Below are 17,535 nucleotides of genomic sequence, written 5' to 3'. Positions count from 1 at the left end.
AAAACATAGGCTTGGTCATGTGAATCTGATATTTGGCAGCTCAGACCTTTTTAGAAACAGTGTTTTAAAGTCTTTTATCAGGAATTGACCATCACCACCATTTCTCAAGTGAATGCCCTGATGCTAGTAAGGTTACTTGAAAAGGACATTATTCTTGTAGCTTCTGCTCCTTGGAATTTTACTGAGAGTAGGATTTAAGAAGGTTAATTACATTATCAAACTGAAAGGCCCCATTAATATGCTGACTCTTGGGAGCGACATTACCTTGCTCTGTCCCCTCCTGTCATTATGTCTTTTACGAACATGATATGGTGGAGTCATTTTAATTATGTAGCCTAACACTAAGACAATGGAGATAGGTAATGTCCTCATTGTGCCCCTTTTAGGTAACAGCTTTTTAAATTCCTTGACAGGGGTCATTTCTTTTTGCTTTGCCTGAGTGGGAAGAGACATATTTGCTGAGCTAATTTTCTCACCAGCAGAGTGAAGGCAACAGTCAAGCTTTCTGAGCTATGAAATGGAGGAGGGGCCCTTTCAGATCCCTAGTGCAGCTTGTTTAAAATTGACCACAACAACACCACGACACTAGCAGAGGGTACATCTTTTTATTTCTGTTGAAGGGGAGAAAAAATACATAATTTATTTTCTTAACCCTCGCAAGTTCTTAGCTGGGACACCTTTGGAAGAAAAGACATAGTCACAGGAAGAAAAAGGTATTCAAATGTGTGAACATTCATGTGGACACAGGAGCCATACACAAAGTGTGAGACTCGAAGCAGGGATCAGGGCCAGGTGCGGTGGCTCATGCCTGTAATCCCAGCACTTTGGGAGGCTAAGGTGGGCAGATCACTTGGGGTCAGGAGTTCAAGACCAGCCTGGCCAACAGGGTGAAACCCCATCTCTAGAAAAAATACAAATATTAGTTGAGCATGGTGGTGCACACCTGTAATCCTAGCTACTGGGAAGGCTGAGGCACGAGAATCGCTTGAACCCGGGAGGTGGAGGTTGCGGTGAGCCGAGATCACACCACTGCATTCCAGCCTGGGCAACAGAGTGGGACTCCGTTTCACAAAAAAAAAAAAAAAAAAAAAAAAAGGAGGGGTCAGATGGCTGACATTTTTATACCAGCCTGAAGTTACAGAAGAGTAGGGGCTTAGGGCTTCTGGGAGGAGGTAGCATCACAGGTTATGTAAGAGTGAGAGAGGAATGCATTGCAAGCAAAGGCTATCTTGTTATGCAGATGAAACCTCACGGGTAGCAGCCCAGCCATTAGAAAGAACAGTTAGTAGCCAGTGGTAAAAGTTTCTCTGCTAGACCTTTAAAAGTCCCAGACTTTTAGTCTCCTTTTACTGTGAGTTAATCTTTCCTAGAGCTGGTTAAGGGGGACTCAGAGAGAGCCTGGGTGTTTATTTCACCAATGTAGATTTTCTCTACAGATGCAAATCTCGCAGCACAAAAGGCAGCTTTGCAAGACTATTTCTGTCTGCAGCCTTTCGGAATAGCCATCTTGAAATATGCCAAAGAAGTATATTTGGGTGACATATTTTGGTCCCCTTCACTGTATAACTGACCCGAATGTCCTCATGAGCCCTATTTTATTGACTGATGAAGGGTCAGGAAGGGGGATAATGAGAGATTTTGGAAATGTGGTTTAATCTTGCCTATTATGTATAACTGAACACTTCCTGGTTATCCTGCCACTGTCTGGTGACTTACTGTCATCTGGGGAAAGTTTCTTCCCAGATCTACTTTCCCTCTGCCTTCCTTTTCTTGCACAGCACTCTGGTGTAAGGCAAGTAGGTTGTGTGCCCTCGTGCCTTTGCATGAGGGACCTTGGACTTTTCCCTGGCTTCTGGTCCTCATTTGGTCCTCCGGTCTCACCTATCTTCATTGAGATGTCATGTCCTATTGTGTATCTGCGTGTTGCCCTCTGCCCTATTTGCATTCACTCTTCAATATTCCTGCATTGATATAGCTCACGGTCTGTTCTCTGGGTATAGTCAATGTAAGGTCTCCCTTCCTCCACACCACCCCATTACTACTGTTGTCTATAACTGGCTAGTGATGTTACCAGAAAGGGGTCCCAGTCCAGACCCCAAGAAAGGGTTCTTGGATCTCACATAAGAAAGAATTCAGGGCAAGACCACAGCGCAAAGCAAAAGCAAGTTTATTAAGAAAGAACAGCTTTATTAATAAAGAACAGCTACTCCATAGACAGAGTAGGGCGTTGCCAAAAGTAAGGGGAGGAATGCATCCACCTTAGGTACAATACTAGTTTATAGATAGATATATATATATATCAAAAGATCATGTGTTGTGCTACATGGGTTTGTGATATAGGATTAATTTTCTTAATTACTATGTTTTGTAAGAATCGATATTATTACCTTTAAAGCAAAATTAAGAATGCTTCTGTTCTCAAGGTATGGGGATATCAGGACACTCCTAAGTCTGGGTCTGTTTAGTAAATGTTATCAATCTGTTTTCTTAACAGTAAGCACCTAGAGGCTAGGAATACCTAACTTTGTGAGAACACAGCCCAACAAGTCCCAGCCTCATTTTTTCCCTAGCCCTTACTCAAGATGGAGTCACTCTGGTTCGAATGCCTTTGACACCATCATCTAAAGGTCCCTCAATCCACACTGTGGAGAGCCCCCAGCAGACAACTTAATTCTTACTTTTTACTTGGTTTTCATTTCTAACACTCAAGGGGCCACAGGAACTTTCTGGATCTCTTTCATCTTCTCCAGCAAGCATGTCAGCATCCATGGCCTCTTTCATGAGGCTGCTCTACTTTGCTCTCTGCCATTCTATGAGGCCGTTTCCTCCCCTGCTGCCAGGAAGGAAGGGGCACGTATGTCCTTCTGCCTTTCAGTCCCCAAGCCCATCCTGGAAGAATATGCACTGTCCATTTGAGGCAGTCAACAGTACATTTTGTTGGATATTGCAACCACAAGAACTTTTTTAAAAATGTGAAAAACAAAATCATTTTATTTCTTATCCTAACCCAGACAGATTAGCTCCCTGGGGAAGCATACTCCTGCAGCCATCTTTTGAAGACTTTTCTCTGCTTGAGACAAACTTTCTTTTTATTTCACTAGAGTTATGTATTCAGTCTAGTTAAAACACATATAGTCTTGGTTAGAGGTCCAAAAAAATCTGTGTGTTGATTGCACGTGATTTATGAAAACCATCTCATTATGCAGATTTACCAGGCACGGGGCCATATTGACAGAGGGGAAAACCCATGTGGGACGAAAAATGGTGATAGCCTTTCTGATGAGAGGATCAAGACTTTGATGGAGCTTATCACCTCTTCCACCAGAGACATCTGCATATTCTCCCTGTTGACATTGTAGGTGCTGTGATTCCCAGACGCGACCCATTGATAGGATCAGCAGGAAATTAGTGCATTGGCTGAGAAGACATTAACTTGAAAGTCACAAAACCGCAAAGGGCCTGGTCTTCTGAATGTTAACTAATGTGTAGCTGCATTTTTAGCTGAGAAGTTATGCTTTTGATCTATGGACTTTAATTTAATTTCTCTCTTGGCCTCTAAGGAGGAGAGCAAAATAAAGTATCCCAAAATGCAGTTTCATTCTTGGCATGTTACAAACGATCAGCAATGATTCCTTTCTGTGTGCTGAATGTGTCAGGGAGAGATCATCACAGAGCAGAGTTCTTGATCCACTTGGGGTTTTTTCCTGGTGGATTTAGGTTAGTGACATGAAAGCATATGTTGCTAAACACTTTTGCCTTAACTGTTTAAATCCATGTGTATTATGTTGGAAACGTCAATCCATAGAGAAATTCTAATTCTTTGGCTCTACCACAAGCATCCAGACTGTGGACTGGTACCATGATCAGGTGTTCATTCACAGCACCAGCACAGCCATCACTTCAGAGCCATTTCCTTCAGATACACAAGCCCAGAAAGTCATACCATGTTTCTTTTCTTTTTTTTAATTATACTTTAAGTTGTAGGGTACATGTGCACAACGTGCAGGTTTGTTACATAGGTATACATATGCCATGTTGGTTTTCTGCACCCGTCAACTAGTCATTTACATTAGGTGTTTCTCCTAATGCCATCCCTCCCCCAGCCCCACACCCGCTGACAGGCCCCGGTGTATGATGTTCCCCTCCCTGTGTCCATGTGTTCTCATTGTTCAACTCCCACCTATGAGTGAGAACATGCGGTGTTTGGTTTTCTGTCCTTGTGATAGTTTACTGAGAATGATGGTTTCCAGCTTCATCCATGTTTCTTAAGTCGTCTTACTAGGTACTACCCCAAATACCATCTCAACTTAATGCTTTGTTATTGAACTTTCATCTGACCTATTTCTTCCACTTTCTAGTTTGTCCCTCATTGTTGACTCTCCTTCCAACAATTTGCAGTATGCCTTCTAACATGCCCATTCAAGTATAACAGTGAGAGAAGTGTTCACTTCCAATTTCTGGGTTTACAGTCGTGTGTCAGTTTATCTACAGGGTGCCAGTTGATGCCACCAGTTTTCAACTCAGTAATGGCTGGGAAATCTGAATGGTACCTCCTATTTGAACTCTAACCTCCAAGGCTATGGGGCAGTTTCATAATTCAGGTCACTATAGACTCCTTCACCACAGGGACCCAAAGGACCTTCTCTCTTCCTTTTGCTGTTTATCTGAGATCTGCCAGATTCTCTTCCTACATTCTGTCAACCTGAAATAAATGAAAGAGTCAGAATCCAGGTTAAAAGTGTTTATTCATGTGCAAAGCTGAGAATGGTCATGTAAGTAACCCAGATTCCAAAGGAATGGGGTCAGTGCTCCCAAGCTGAAAAGTTAAGGTCTTGCTTATACAGGCAGAAAACAAAGAAATTTAACCGGATTATAATATTTTCCATACAAGGCTGGTTTATGAGTTACAGCAATTTGATTAGTTACAGCTTGTTTTATTTCCCTTTTCCAGTTTAGAAGGGTATATTTAATGTTTCAGACTGTGTGATAGTCATGAGGTCTTTGTATAAAAGAAGTAAAAGGGAAGTTAATCTATAATGAAGATCCAACAATGAAGAGGCAAGGGGTCTTCTCTGGTGCCCTTTAATCCTTTATTACATTTTACGAAACAATGTAAGTAAAGTAAAGGCCAATCTATAATCAGAGAAACAAAGGTTACAGCTGCCTAGGTTATAGCTGTCTGTCTTATGACTGAATGTCATAATCACATTTCTTTTTTTTTTTTTTTTTTTTTTTTGGAGACAGAGTCTTGCTCTGTTGCCCAGGCTGGAGTGCAATGGTACAATCTCGGCTCACTGTAACCTCTGCCTCCCAGGTTCAAGCAATTCTCCTGCCTCAACGTACTAAGTAGGTGGGATTACAAACATGTGCGACCATGCCCAGCTAATTTTTGTATTTTTAGTAGAGATGGGTTTCACCATGTTGACCATGCTGGTCTCGACCTCCTGGCCTCAAGTGATGGGCCCACCTCAGCCTCCCAAAGTGCTGGGTTTACAGATGTGAGCCTCTGCACACGGCCACATTCCATTAAGGCTGAAAAAAATTTACAGTTTCAACAGCTTTGGTTTTGAATTATTTATTTTTACAATTTTCAAACACAGAAGCCCCATTGAGTCACTCAGAGTTGATTTACACTCCTCAGGTGATCTAAATCCTTGCTACTCAATGAGGACCAGCAGCAGCAACATTACCCGGGAGCTTGTTAAAAAGCAGAATCTCAGGCTCCCAACCCAGGTTTACTGAATCAGAATCTGCATCTGAACAAGATTTTAACAACGTGATTTATACGCACATTGAAATGTGAGAAGTTCATGTCTAGGTAATGTTCTGGCATCTCCATTTTTTTAAGAGGAGAAAAAATAGAGTTTTATCTCAGTTGCTGAATCTTTGCTATATATAGAAACTCTTTTACAGGCTCAGTCTCTTTAGAATTTTTTTTTAGATTTTTGGCCTTAAAAGAAACTTGGTCTTTTTTGAAGGACAGTTTTTGTTATTGTTTTTTTGTTTGTTTTGTTTGTTTGTTTGTTTGTCTTTTGTTGCCATATAAAGTAGGGACGGATCTTTGCATACAGGTCCCATATCTGTATATTTGAGGTGTGGAGGCAGAAAAGGCAGAATTTGCCTAACTTTATTTTCGCTTCAAGACTTTTAAATGTCCTCATTCTTTTAACAATTTTCTTACTTCCTCCTCCCATTGAATAGCCTCCAGGGCCTTTGCCAGACACACCTTAAAACCACCTGTTGTCCCTGTGCGCATGTGCCCGCACAGTTGGGTGTTGCAGGTACAAGATGCAGCGCCTTAATCACAGGTGCTTTCCACCCTCACCTGGGCCCTCAGGACCTCTCAGCAAACCTTTTACTAATTCCTTGCCAGCAGCCTCTCTCATTTCTTATAGTAGCACTTCTAACTTCTCACCACTTCCTTCAAATTTCAAGTATCATCCTCAGCTCCCTCAAAAGATTGTCAGGCCTTCTGGTTCATAGGAAAAATAAGGAATACACATACTCATACCACGCTTTTAAACTGATTTCACTTTCTAGTCAAATTCTTTCTTTCTATCTCAGAAAAAGGGTTTTGACTCTGTTTCTACCTAAATCAAATTCCTTACACCGTTGAGTCTTGAGCAACGTAGAGTTTAGGGGCACCAACTCCCATGCAGTCAAAAACCCATCTGTAACTTTTGACTTCCCCAAAAACTTAACTACTAATGACCTATTGTTGACCAAAAGCTTTACTAATAACATAAATAGTTGATGAACATATATTTGTACATTATATATATTATGCCCTATTATTATATATCCAAGAATAAAAGAGCATTCAACATACTTGAAGTGGTAGTAAAGTACCACTGTGTTCTTACGATAATGTGTTCTTATAATAAAGTAAGCTAGAGAAAAGAAAATAGTGTTAAGAAAATCTAAAGAAAGAAGGCTGGGCGCAGTGGCTCACACCTGTAATCCCAGCACTTTGGGATGCTGAGATGGGTGGATCACTTGAGGTCAGGAGTTCAAGACTGGCCTGGCCAACATGGTGAAACCCTGTCTCTACTAAAAATACAAAAAATAGCTGGGCATGGTGGCATGTGTCTATAATCCCAACTACTCAGGAGGCTGAGACAGGAGAATCGCTTGATCCCAGGAAACGTGGGTTGCAGTGAGCCAAGATCACACCACTGCACTCCAGCCTGAACAACAGAGCAAGACTCCATCTCAAAAATAATAAGAAGAAGAAGAAGAAAGAGAAAGTGCATTTCCTATGCATTAAGTAGGAGCTGATCATCATAAAGGGCTTCATTATTATTTTCAGGTTGAGTAGGCTGAGGAGGAGGATGAAGAGGAGGGGTTGGTCTTGCTATCTTTCGTGGCAGAGGTGGAAGAAAGTCCACCTATAAGGGAACCCGTGTAGTTCAAACCTGTGTTGTTCAAGCATCAACTGTACTTTGATTCTAATTCTGTCCTATCTCCTGAAGTACTTTCCTTATTTATAATTCTCTCTCATCTGTAGTTTCAACGTTTTCTATCCAAGTGTTCAGAGAAGTCTCTTGAGCTTCCAAACTAAATCAGGATCTGTTGTTTTAATCTTTCATTGTTCCCTCTAGTTTTCCTTTACAGAACTTTTCACTTTATGTAACTGTTTGTAGGATTATTTATATATATTTCTTGTTTGCCAGACTGTGTGTGCCATGTTCTTGTCTAGCGAGCTTGATATAGACATTTTTTTAATATGAAAAAGACTTGAGGGCAAAGTACAGTAAAGCTCCTGAGGAGATGGTAGAAAATAAGATGAAGAGGGATTTGCCTTGGACAGGAAAACAGAAACCTTTTCCTCAAAGTCCAACAGAAAACAGGAGAAAGGAGCTATAAAGACAGATAAATGTGTATGGAGGCTGTATATTGATGGCATTAATATTTGCTAACCTTCATTTTCTAATTGAAGTGAGAGACAAGGGAAGATTATAACTGAGGCCACTTAAAAATCAGATTGAGAATTATTGATACAGTTTTACCACTGGGTTTTTTTTTATCCTAACCTTCTAACTTTTAAGACTCAGAATACTACGTTATATGTCTACCAAAGGCAGAGGGAAGGGATTTACCAAAATAAACGAAAATATATGTCTACAATAAGCTCTGTGCAAGAATGTTCATAGCATTTTTTATAAGAGCCATAAACTGGAAAAAATTTGAAGGTCTATATACAAATTGTAGTAGATTCATACAGTGGAAGTGACTCAGCAACTTGGAACACGAATACAGGTAATGACATGGATGACAATCAAAAGCAGTATGTTGAGCAAAAGATGCCAGACGTGGCCGGGCGCGGTGGCTCACGCCTGTAATCTCAGCACTTTGGGAGGCCAAGGCGGGTGGATCACGAGGTCAGGAGTTTGAGACCAGCCTGGCCAACGTAAGTGAAACCCCATCTCTACTAAAAATACAAAAAATTAGGTGGGTGTGGTGATGGATGCCTGTAATCCCAGCTACTCGGGAGGCTGAGGCAGGAGAATTGCTTGAACCTGGGAGGCAGAGTTGCAGCGAGCCGAGATCACACCACTGCAATCCAGCCTGGGCGACAGTGTGAGACTCCATTTCAAAAAATAAAAAGTAAATAAAAAGAAGCCAGACGCTAGCAAGTGCATAGTGTGAGATTTCATTTCATAAAAGCAAAACTAAAACGTGGTGACAGAAATGAGAATCCTAGTTTTTTTTTGTCAGGGCATGGGGTGATCTTGGTGTGAAAGATCAGGAGGGCATTTAAATTTTTACCACAATGGAAATGTTTTATACCTTAATCGACGTGGTGCATACATTTGTCAGAACTTTGCAAGTTTTGGACTAAAATTCTGTGCATATAATCTGTGCAAAACTGTATGTATAAATTATCCCTCTGTCAAATAGGGCTATACCTTTTAGTTAAACTTCTGTATATTGCTTTTGTTTTGAGCAACTTCATAGAAGTGATTGAGAAATTGAACCATGGTGAAAGATTGGAACAGTCACCATAAAGAATGGGGGAGGAAGCTGACCATAAACTCAAGTTCCTGAGTGTTTCCTCCCTTTCCTTCTCTCTCAGTCTGTGTTGGGCACCTCATGTATGTGAGCCTGTAGGCGGCTGTTCTTAAGTCTGTCCTAGCACTTACCACGTTGGAATTGTTGGGACTAAGAATGCAATACCCTGAAGCAGCCTCAGAAGCAAACTTTTTCTCTGACCTTCTCCTGACCTGTTCCATTCTCCCCAGAGACTAGAATCCCTCTGGCCCGAGGCGGGTCATGGAAATCAGAACCCCTTCTCCTCAAAGCCAGCCGTAAAAGTAGTCATAAAGAAGTTATCTGACCTGCCTTGTTGGACTGTAGGTCCTAAGACCCCCAGTCCAGAGAGAGCTCTGCCCCATACCCAGAAGGAAGGAATGCTGCTCAGAGAGGCCAGAAGAATCTAGAGGGACAGGCGTTGCTGGGCTTCCCCACTCAGTCTAGTAGCATTAGATCATTCCCTTTCTGTCCAGTCATATTCCAGACTTTGTTGACTCGAAGCATAAAAATGGACAATTTCCTCTATATCTTTGGGTCTTCATCCAGAAGGCTTCCATATACACATTAAGTTCGTGTGCTTTTTCTCCTATTAATCTGCCTCTTGTCAATGATTTTCAATGAACCTTCAGAGGGCAAAGGAGAGGCTTTTCCTTCATGCCTATATGATCTATTTATCTGTTTCCTCACTTCAGATACTGTTCAAATAGGTTTCTTAAGAGTGACCCCTCCATTCTTTTTACCATGTCTCTCCACAGTGCCAGTATCCCCATTATTACACGATGTATACTCATTATTGTGGAATGAACAAAAGGAGAGAACAAATTGGTGGAAAATGAATTACCAAGCAGCAGTAAGAAAGGCTGGGGATGGCAACTGCAAGTTTATAATGGAGGTCTAAGCATTTTGTAAATTCTTCAGGATTTCAGGCCTTAGTCTTGGATTAAAGGCAGTAGTCAGAATGATTTAACTTTCTCCTCTATACACAGCTTGCCTTAGTAGGCGGTGAAGTCCTTCTGGGTAGAAATGATGCTTCTGTTATGTTATTCCCTCGCAGTGCCCAGCAGAGTCCTAAATGAATCTGGTTTAATAATCAGGTGAGTGGCCGGGCACGGTGGCTCAGGCCTGTAATCCTAGCACTTTGGGAGGCCGAGACCAGCCTGACCAACATGGTGAAACCCTGTTTCTACTAAAAATGCAAAATTGGCTGGGCATGGTGGCACATGCCTGTAATCCCAGCTACTTGGGAGGCTGAGGCAGGAGAATCACTTGAACCCAGGAGGCGGAGGTTGCAGTGAGCCGAGATTGTGCTACTGCACTCCAGCCTGGTGACAGAGCGAGACTCCATCTCAAAAAATAAATAAATAAATAATCTGGTGAGTGGATCCCAGTAGTGCTTTGCTGGAGGCAGATACAGGAGTGGGAGAGCCCCTTCATGAGGGTTTGGAAATGGGTCCTGATGCTTTTTTGCAGTAATTAGGTTTTGATGCAAACTCAAAATCCTTAGTGAAGATAAAACACTTGATGGAATTCCATTATCCTTCCCAACCAAGTCCTCTTCTGATAGTAAGGTTGGCACTTAGGGAAGTGCTCACATCATCAGAATAGCATGATATCCATTGTATTGGCACAGTACTTTTTTTTTTTTTTTTTTTTTTGAGACGGAGTCTCGCTCTGTCACCCAGGCTGGAGTGCAGTGGCGCGATCTCGGTTCACTGCAAGCTCTGCCTCCTGGGTTCACGCCATTCTCCTGCCTCAGCCTCCCGAGTAGCTGGGACTACAGGCACCTGCCACGACGCCCGGCTAATTTTTTGTATTTTTAGTAGAGACAGGGTTTCGCTGTGCTAGCCAGGATGGTCTTGATCTCCTGAACTCATGATCCGCCTGCCTTGGCCTCCCAAAGTGCTGGGATTACAGGCGTGAGCCACTGCGCCCGGCTGGCACAGCACTTTTTTTGTTGTCATTATAAGCAATGATAAAATAAGTATCTTTGTGTATGTGTGTGAGTATATATCTTTGTGCACATTTATTTGCGAGTATACCAATAGTGTAAATTTTTAAAATAGTGCATGTGCTGAGTTATAAAAGTAATAACTATAAATTTATAAGTATTGTAAAAGTATCCTACAAAGAAACTAACAAGTGTATGAAAACTCTTGCTGCCTATCTCTTCTTCAAAGTGGTGTATTATAAATTTTTTGTTTTCATGTTACGAATGTATTGAGTGAAAACTTGTATTCATATGTTTTAATTAGAATTTATTGAAGTATGAATGAGATTATTCATCATTTAATATGAATCATTTGTATTTGACTTTTACGTGAACATCCTGTTTACATTTCTGCCTGCTTTGCTATTGGTTTTCTGGTCTCTTTGTCAATTTCTCAAAGTTTTTCCATTCATTCACCAACCACTTATCATATGCCAAGCACTACTTTGGACACTGAAGATACAGGCATAAGCAAGACAAATAAAATCACTGCTCTCATGAACTGTGTCTAAGTGGGCAATTAAAACAAAGATACATAAAATCTAATATCAGTAAATATAAAATGTGACAGCAAAATGATGAGTGCTGGGGAGACAACATGGAAGAATACACTTTCCATTTTCAGTTGATTGCAAAAATGTCTTCACAGTGTGGTACCATTTTTTTTTTTTTTTTGAGACAGAGTTTCACTCTTGCTGCCCAGGCTGGAGTGCAAAGGCTCGATCTTGGCTCAGTGCAACCTACGCCTCCCGGGTTCAAGCCATTCCCATGCCTCAGCCTCCCAAGTAGCTGGGATTATAGGCATGAGCCACCAAGCTCGGCTAATTTTTTTTTTTGCATTTTTAGTAGAGATGGGGTTTCACCATCTTGGTCAGGCTGGTCTGAAACTCCTGACCTCAGGTGATCCACCCGCCTCGGCCTCCCAAAGTGCTGGGATTACCAGCATGAGCCATCCCGCCGGGCCTATTTTTTTAAGACTATGCTTTTCAGAGGAGTTTTAGGTTCAGAGGAAAATGAAAGAAAGGTAAAGAGATTTCCTGTATACCTCTTACTCTCATATACCTCAGTCTTTTCCACTACCAACAAGTCCCAACCAGAGTAGTACATTTGTTACGGTTCAGTGAACCTCCACTGATGCATCATTATCGCACAGGGGCCATCATTATCGCACTGACGCGTCATTATCACACAGGGTTCATCATTATCACACAGGGGCCATAGTATACATTAGGGTTTATCATTGGTGTTGTGCATTCTATGGGTTATAATGACAAGAATCCACTACTGGAATATCATATAGAGTCATTTCAGTGCCCTAACAATCCTCTATGCTCTACCTGTTCATCTCTTCCACCCCTGACAACCAGTGATCTTTTTACTCTCTCCATAGTTTTGCCTTTTCCACAAAGTCGCATTGTTGGAGTCATACAGTGTGTGGCCTTTTCAGATTGACTTCTTTCACTTAGTAATATGCACTTAAGGTTCTGCCATGACTCCTCATGGCTTGGTAGTTCATTTCTTTTTAGAACTCAATGATGTTTTGTTGTCTGGGTATACCAGTCATTTATTTATTTATTTTTATTTTGTTTATAGTGCCTTTTCTTCTTTTCTGTATAGAAATTTTTAAATTTATGTGAATTCATATTTATCAGCCATTTGTTTTATGGCTGCTAGGTTTTGTATCTTAATTAGAAAGCCTTACTATTTTACTATTTATCCTTACTATCTTACTTTTAAAATTGTTGCCTTTTTTATACCGTACAGTTCATTTAAACCTCAATCTTTTGTTTTTGCTTTGGGGCACCTTTTGGAATTCTCTCAATTGACTTCTTACTCTTATTTCAAATAAAAGATTTTCCAAACTGGATGGAAGAGATGCTAACATTTTTATTGTTGTTGTATAGCTATATTGTGTTAGGTCCTGTACTATTCACTTTCACATTCATAATTTCATTTTGAAAAAGTAAAAATTAGCCTATGAAAACACACACACACATGAACACACACACATATCCAGATAATTATTCCCATAATATTGTAATACCTGAACCAATGCTGTCCAAGAGTTTCTTAATGATGTAAGGGTTCTATATCTGCAGTGTCCAGTAAGGTGGTCACTAGCTGCATGTGGGTAATGAGCACTTGAAGTGTAGCTAGTGAAAATGAGGAACTAGTCAGGCACGGTGGCTCACACCTGTAACCCCAACACTTTGGAAGGCTGAGGCAGGTGGATCACCTGAGGTCAGGAGTTCGAGACCAGCCTGGCCAACATGGTGAAACACTGTTTCTACTAAAAAAAAAAAAAAAAAAAAAATTAGCTGGGTGTGGTGGCACGCACCTGTAATCCCAGCTACTCGGGAGGCTGAGGCATGAGAATCACTTAAACCCAGGAGGCAGAGGTTTGCAGTGAGCTGAGATTGCGCCATTAAACTCCAGCCTAGGTGACAGAGGGAGACTCTGTATAAAAAAAAGAAAAGAAAAGAAAAGAAAAGAAATAAATGAGGAATTAATTAGCTACATATGGCTAGTGGCTAACATATTGAACAGTACAGTTCTGGACCATTCAGTGCTGAAAAAAAGAAAGTCTTACCATCTTACAACCTAATTCACATTGAAGACATGAGTAAGGAGACTTAAAATATTTCCTTCTTTGTTTTCAGATGTTTTGAGTTTTATACCTATTAAGGGATAATTAATACACAACCTGGATAGCTGTAAAGTATAAAATTTTGATGCATTTGGACACATGAATATATCCCTAAAACCACAGCCATAATCAAAATAGTAGAAATTTTTATTCTCCCCAAAAGTTTCCTTGTGCCTTTTTGAAACCCATTTTTCTTCATTTTCCCTCACCCCGCCCCATCCCTAGTCACCACTGGTCTGCTTCTTGTCAGGAATGAGACCTCCTTTCCCCCATCCACATTTCAGTGAAGATCACGAGAGGAGACTGGATATCCCACACCAACCTGGTAGTAATAACACCCCACTTCTCCACCCTGGAGTGGTGTCAGAAGAAGCCTAAGGGAGCATCGAGACTTCTGCCATCAAACAGTGGTGACCAGGCCACCCTCACTGCAGTGTCAAATTTCTACCCTCAGCAGGTGGTCATGAAACAGCATTTCCCTCTTCCGGAGGAGTGGTGTCATCAAAAGCCAACGACAACCCAGAATCGCATAACAAAATACAAAGATGTCCAGCTTTCAATTTTAAAAAACATTCATCAGGCCAGGCTCAGTGGCTCACGCCTGTAGTCGCAGCACTTTGATAGGCCGAGGTGGGTGGATTGTTTGAGGCCAAGAGTTTGGGAACAGCCTGGCCGACATGGCGAAACCCCGTCTCTACTGGGAAAAAAAAAAAATTAGCCGAGCGTGGTGGCACATGCTTGTAGTCCCAGCTACTTGGTAGGCTGAGACACGAGAATCATTTGAGCCTGGGAGGTAGATGTTGCACTGAGACAAGATCACACCACTGCACTCCAGCCTGGGTGACAGAGTGAGACGCTGTATTAACAACAACAACAACAAAATACTCATCGTACCAAGAACCAGGAAGACCTCTAACTAAATGGAAAAAATATATATATCAATAGTGGTCAAGATTGAGATGACAGAGTTAATAGATTAGCTTACAAAGATTTTGAAGTATCCATGACAAACTTGTCCAACTTGTGGCCCAGGACATCTTTGAATATGGCCCAAAAGCAATTCGTAAACTTTCTTAAGACATTATGAGGTTGGTTGTTTTTTTTGTGATTCTTAAAAATCTCATCAGCTATCATTAGTGTTAGTGTATTTTATGTGTAATTCTTCTTCCAGTGTGGCCAGGGAAGCCAAAAAAGATTGGACACCCCTGATCTATGATAAAAATTATTTAATAATAATAATAATAATATGCTTTAAGCATATTACAAACTAGAAGGCCTCAGGAAATAAACTGAAATTCTCAGCAAAGAAATAGAAGTTATAAAAAAATGGAAACTTTAGGACTGAAAAGGACAACATCAAAAAGGAAAACTCAGTGGATGGGCTCAATGGCAAAATCGATAAGATGGAAGAAACCACTAAGTCAGTGAAATAGAAGACAGAACAACAGAAATTACCTAATCTGAACAGCGGAGAGAAAACAGACTGACAAAAAGGAGCACGGCCTCTGGGATGGAGATCTTTTGTGGGTTTATAACAAAAGATCTAACATTGGTGCCATTGGAGTTATGAAAGGATAGGAAAAAGATAAGGGGACTAAAAAAGTGCTTGAAGAACCTTTCCTCAGCTGCCACCAAGGTGCTCGGTCCATCCGCGTCCGGCAGCGCCAGCCCCACACTCACCCGTGCCATGGCCTTCGTCTCCCAGCTCGCCTGCATCTACCTGGCCCTCATTCCGCACGATGATGAGGTGACCGTCACGGAGAATAAGATCAATGCCCTCATTAAAGCAGCCGGTGTAAATGTTGAACCCTTTTGGCCTGGCTTGTTTGCAAAGGCCTGGCCAAAGTCAACATGGGGAGCCTCCTCTGCAATGTAGGGGCTGGTGGACCTGGTCCAGCAGCTGGCTCTATCTGTACCAGCAGGAGCTTCTGCCCGCCTCTGCTGCTGCTGCTCCAGCTGAGGAGAAGAAAGTGGAAGCAAAGAAAGAAGAATCCGAGAAGTCTGATGGTGACATGGGCTTTGGTCTTTTTGACGAAACCTCTTTTATAATGTGTTCAATAAAAAGCTGAACTTAAAAAAAAAAAGTACTTGAAGAAATAATGGCTTAAAAACATCACAAGCATAGCAAAGATATAAACCTTCAGTTGAAGAAGCTGAGAGAAGCCCAAATAGGATAAATAAGCCCAACGAAATGCATACCAAGCCACTTAATAAACATTTGAAAACTGCAGACAACCACAAAACAAACATCTTGAAAGCAGTCAGGGAAAAATGACACATTAACTAGAAGAGAAAAATGATTCAAACCACAGCAGCGTTCTCATGAGAAAAACCGTGGATGCCAGAAGAAAGTGCCACAAAATTTTTCCTTTCCTGCTGAAAAGAAAGAACTGTCAATCCGTAATCCTCTGCCCAGCAAACATTTTTCCTGAGGCATAACGGGGAAATGAAAACATTCTCAGATGAAGGAAAACTGAGAGAATTTGTCACCAGCTGACGAACTCTAACAGAATGATTAAAAGGAATTTTCTAAATAAAAGGGAAACGATAAGAAAAGGAACCTTGGAATATCAGATAAGAACAAAACGTGGTAAGCAAACATGTAAGAAATACAATAGACTTATCTTCTCTGATTTTCTGAAAATTTTGTTTTTTCCTGAGACAAAGTCTTGCTCTGTTGCCCAGGCTGGAGTGCAGTGGCACGATCTCCGCTCACTGCAACCTCTGTCTCCTGGATTCACGTGATTCTCCTGCCTCAGCCTCCTGAGTAGCTGGGATTACAGGCATGTGCCCCCTTCTCGACTAATTTTTGTATTTTTAGTAGAGATGGGGTTTCCCCATGTTGGTCAGGCTGGTCTCGAACTCCTGACCTCAAATGATCTGCCCACCTCGGTCCCCCAAAGTGCTGAGATTACAGGTGTGAGCCACTGCACCCATCCTTCTGAATTTTTTTGATTGTTTTGATTGTTGAAGAAAAAAATGTAACAACGTCTGATATGATTCTAAATGTACATAGAGGAATTAGCTAAAAAACATTAAAAATTGGGGAGAGTAAAGGAACATGAAGAGACATAGGGTTCCATACTTCACTTTACTCAAATTGGTAAAGTGATTACACCGGAAGGCTATAATAAGTTGTGTGAATATAATTTTATCATCAACTAAAAAGAGCTGCACAATAATGCATTCAAAAATATTTAGAGCTAGGTGCGGTGGCTGACACCTGTAATCATACTTAGCAGTTTGGGAGGCTGAAATAGGAAAATTACTTGAGCCCAGGAGTTTGAGACCAGCCTGGGCAACATAACAAGACCCTGTCTCTAAATAATAACAGCAATAATAATAATAATGATAATAATAATAAAAACATAGTCGGGCATAGTAGCATGTATCTGTGTTCCCTCTTCAGGAGGCTGAGCTGGGAGGATCACTTAAGCCCAGGAGGCTGAGGCTGCAGTGAACCATTTTCATGCCACTGCATTCCAGACTGGGTGACAAAGCAAGACTGTAAAAACAAGCAAACAAACAAACAAACTTAGAAAATTGAAATGGATTTTAAAAAATATTAATGCAATCCACTGGAAGGCAGGAACAAGAAAAAAAACCCACAAAAAATAAAATGGCATACTTAAGCCCTATCAGTAATTACATTAAATATACCATCACATATCGGTAATTACATTTAATACAAGTAATTACTTAAATATACTATTTAAAAGACAGAGGCCAGCAGAGTGGATAAAATCATGGCTCAACTACATGCTATCCCCAAGAAACTTGCTTCAAATATAACAACATAGTCAGGTTGTAAGTAAAAGAATAGAAAAAAGATGTGTTGTGCAAAATTGATTAAAGGAAACCTGGAATA

General features: G+C 41.0%; 1 protein-coding gene and 1 pseudogene across 22 annotated transcripts in view, besides 1 other annotated feature; both read left to right on the top strand.

Annotated features, from left to right (window-relative positions):
* The window catches only part of RGS7 (regulator of G protein signaling 7), a 582,489-nt gene that overhangs the window by 343,082 nt on the left and 221,872 nt on the right, over nt 1-17,535 (top strand). The window lies entirely within an intron of this gene.
* Nucleotides 1,363-1,874: an enhancer, noted in NCBI's record as "OCT4-NANOG-H3K27ac hESC enhancer chr1:241175575-241176086 (GRCh37/hg19 assembly coordinates)". NCBI's record gives its function as "activates a minimal SCP1, AML or CMV promoter by ChIP-STARR-seq in primed H9 embryonic stem cells {active_cell/tissue: H9 hESC(primed)}" and the evidence as "EXISTENCE:reporter gene assay evidence [ECO:0000049][PMID:30033119]".
* Nucleotides 15,282-15,740, top strand: RPLP1P2 (ribosomal protein lateral stalk subunit P1 pseudogene 2; annotated as a pseudogene).

This window comes from Homo sapiens, chromosome 1 (genome assembly GCF_000001405.40).
Source record: "Homo sapiens chromosome 1, GRCh38.p14 Primary Assembly".
NCBI lineage: Eukaryota > Metazoa > Chordata > Mammalia > Primates > Hominidae > Homo > Homo sapiens.
This window is presented reverse-complemented; position numbering and strand designations above follow the sequence as displayed.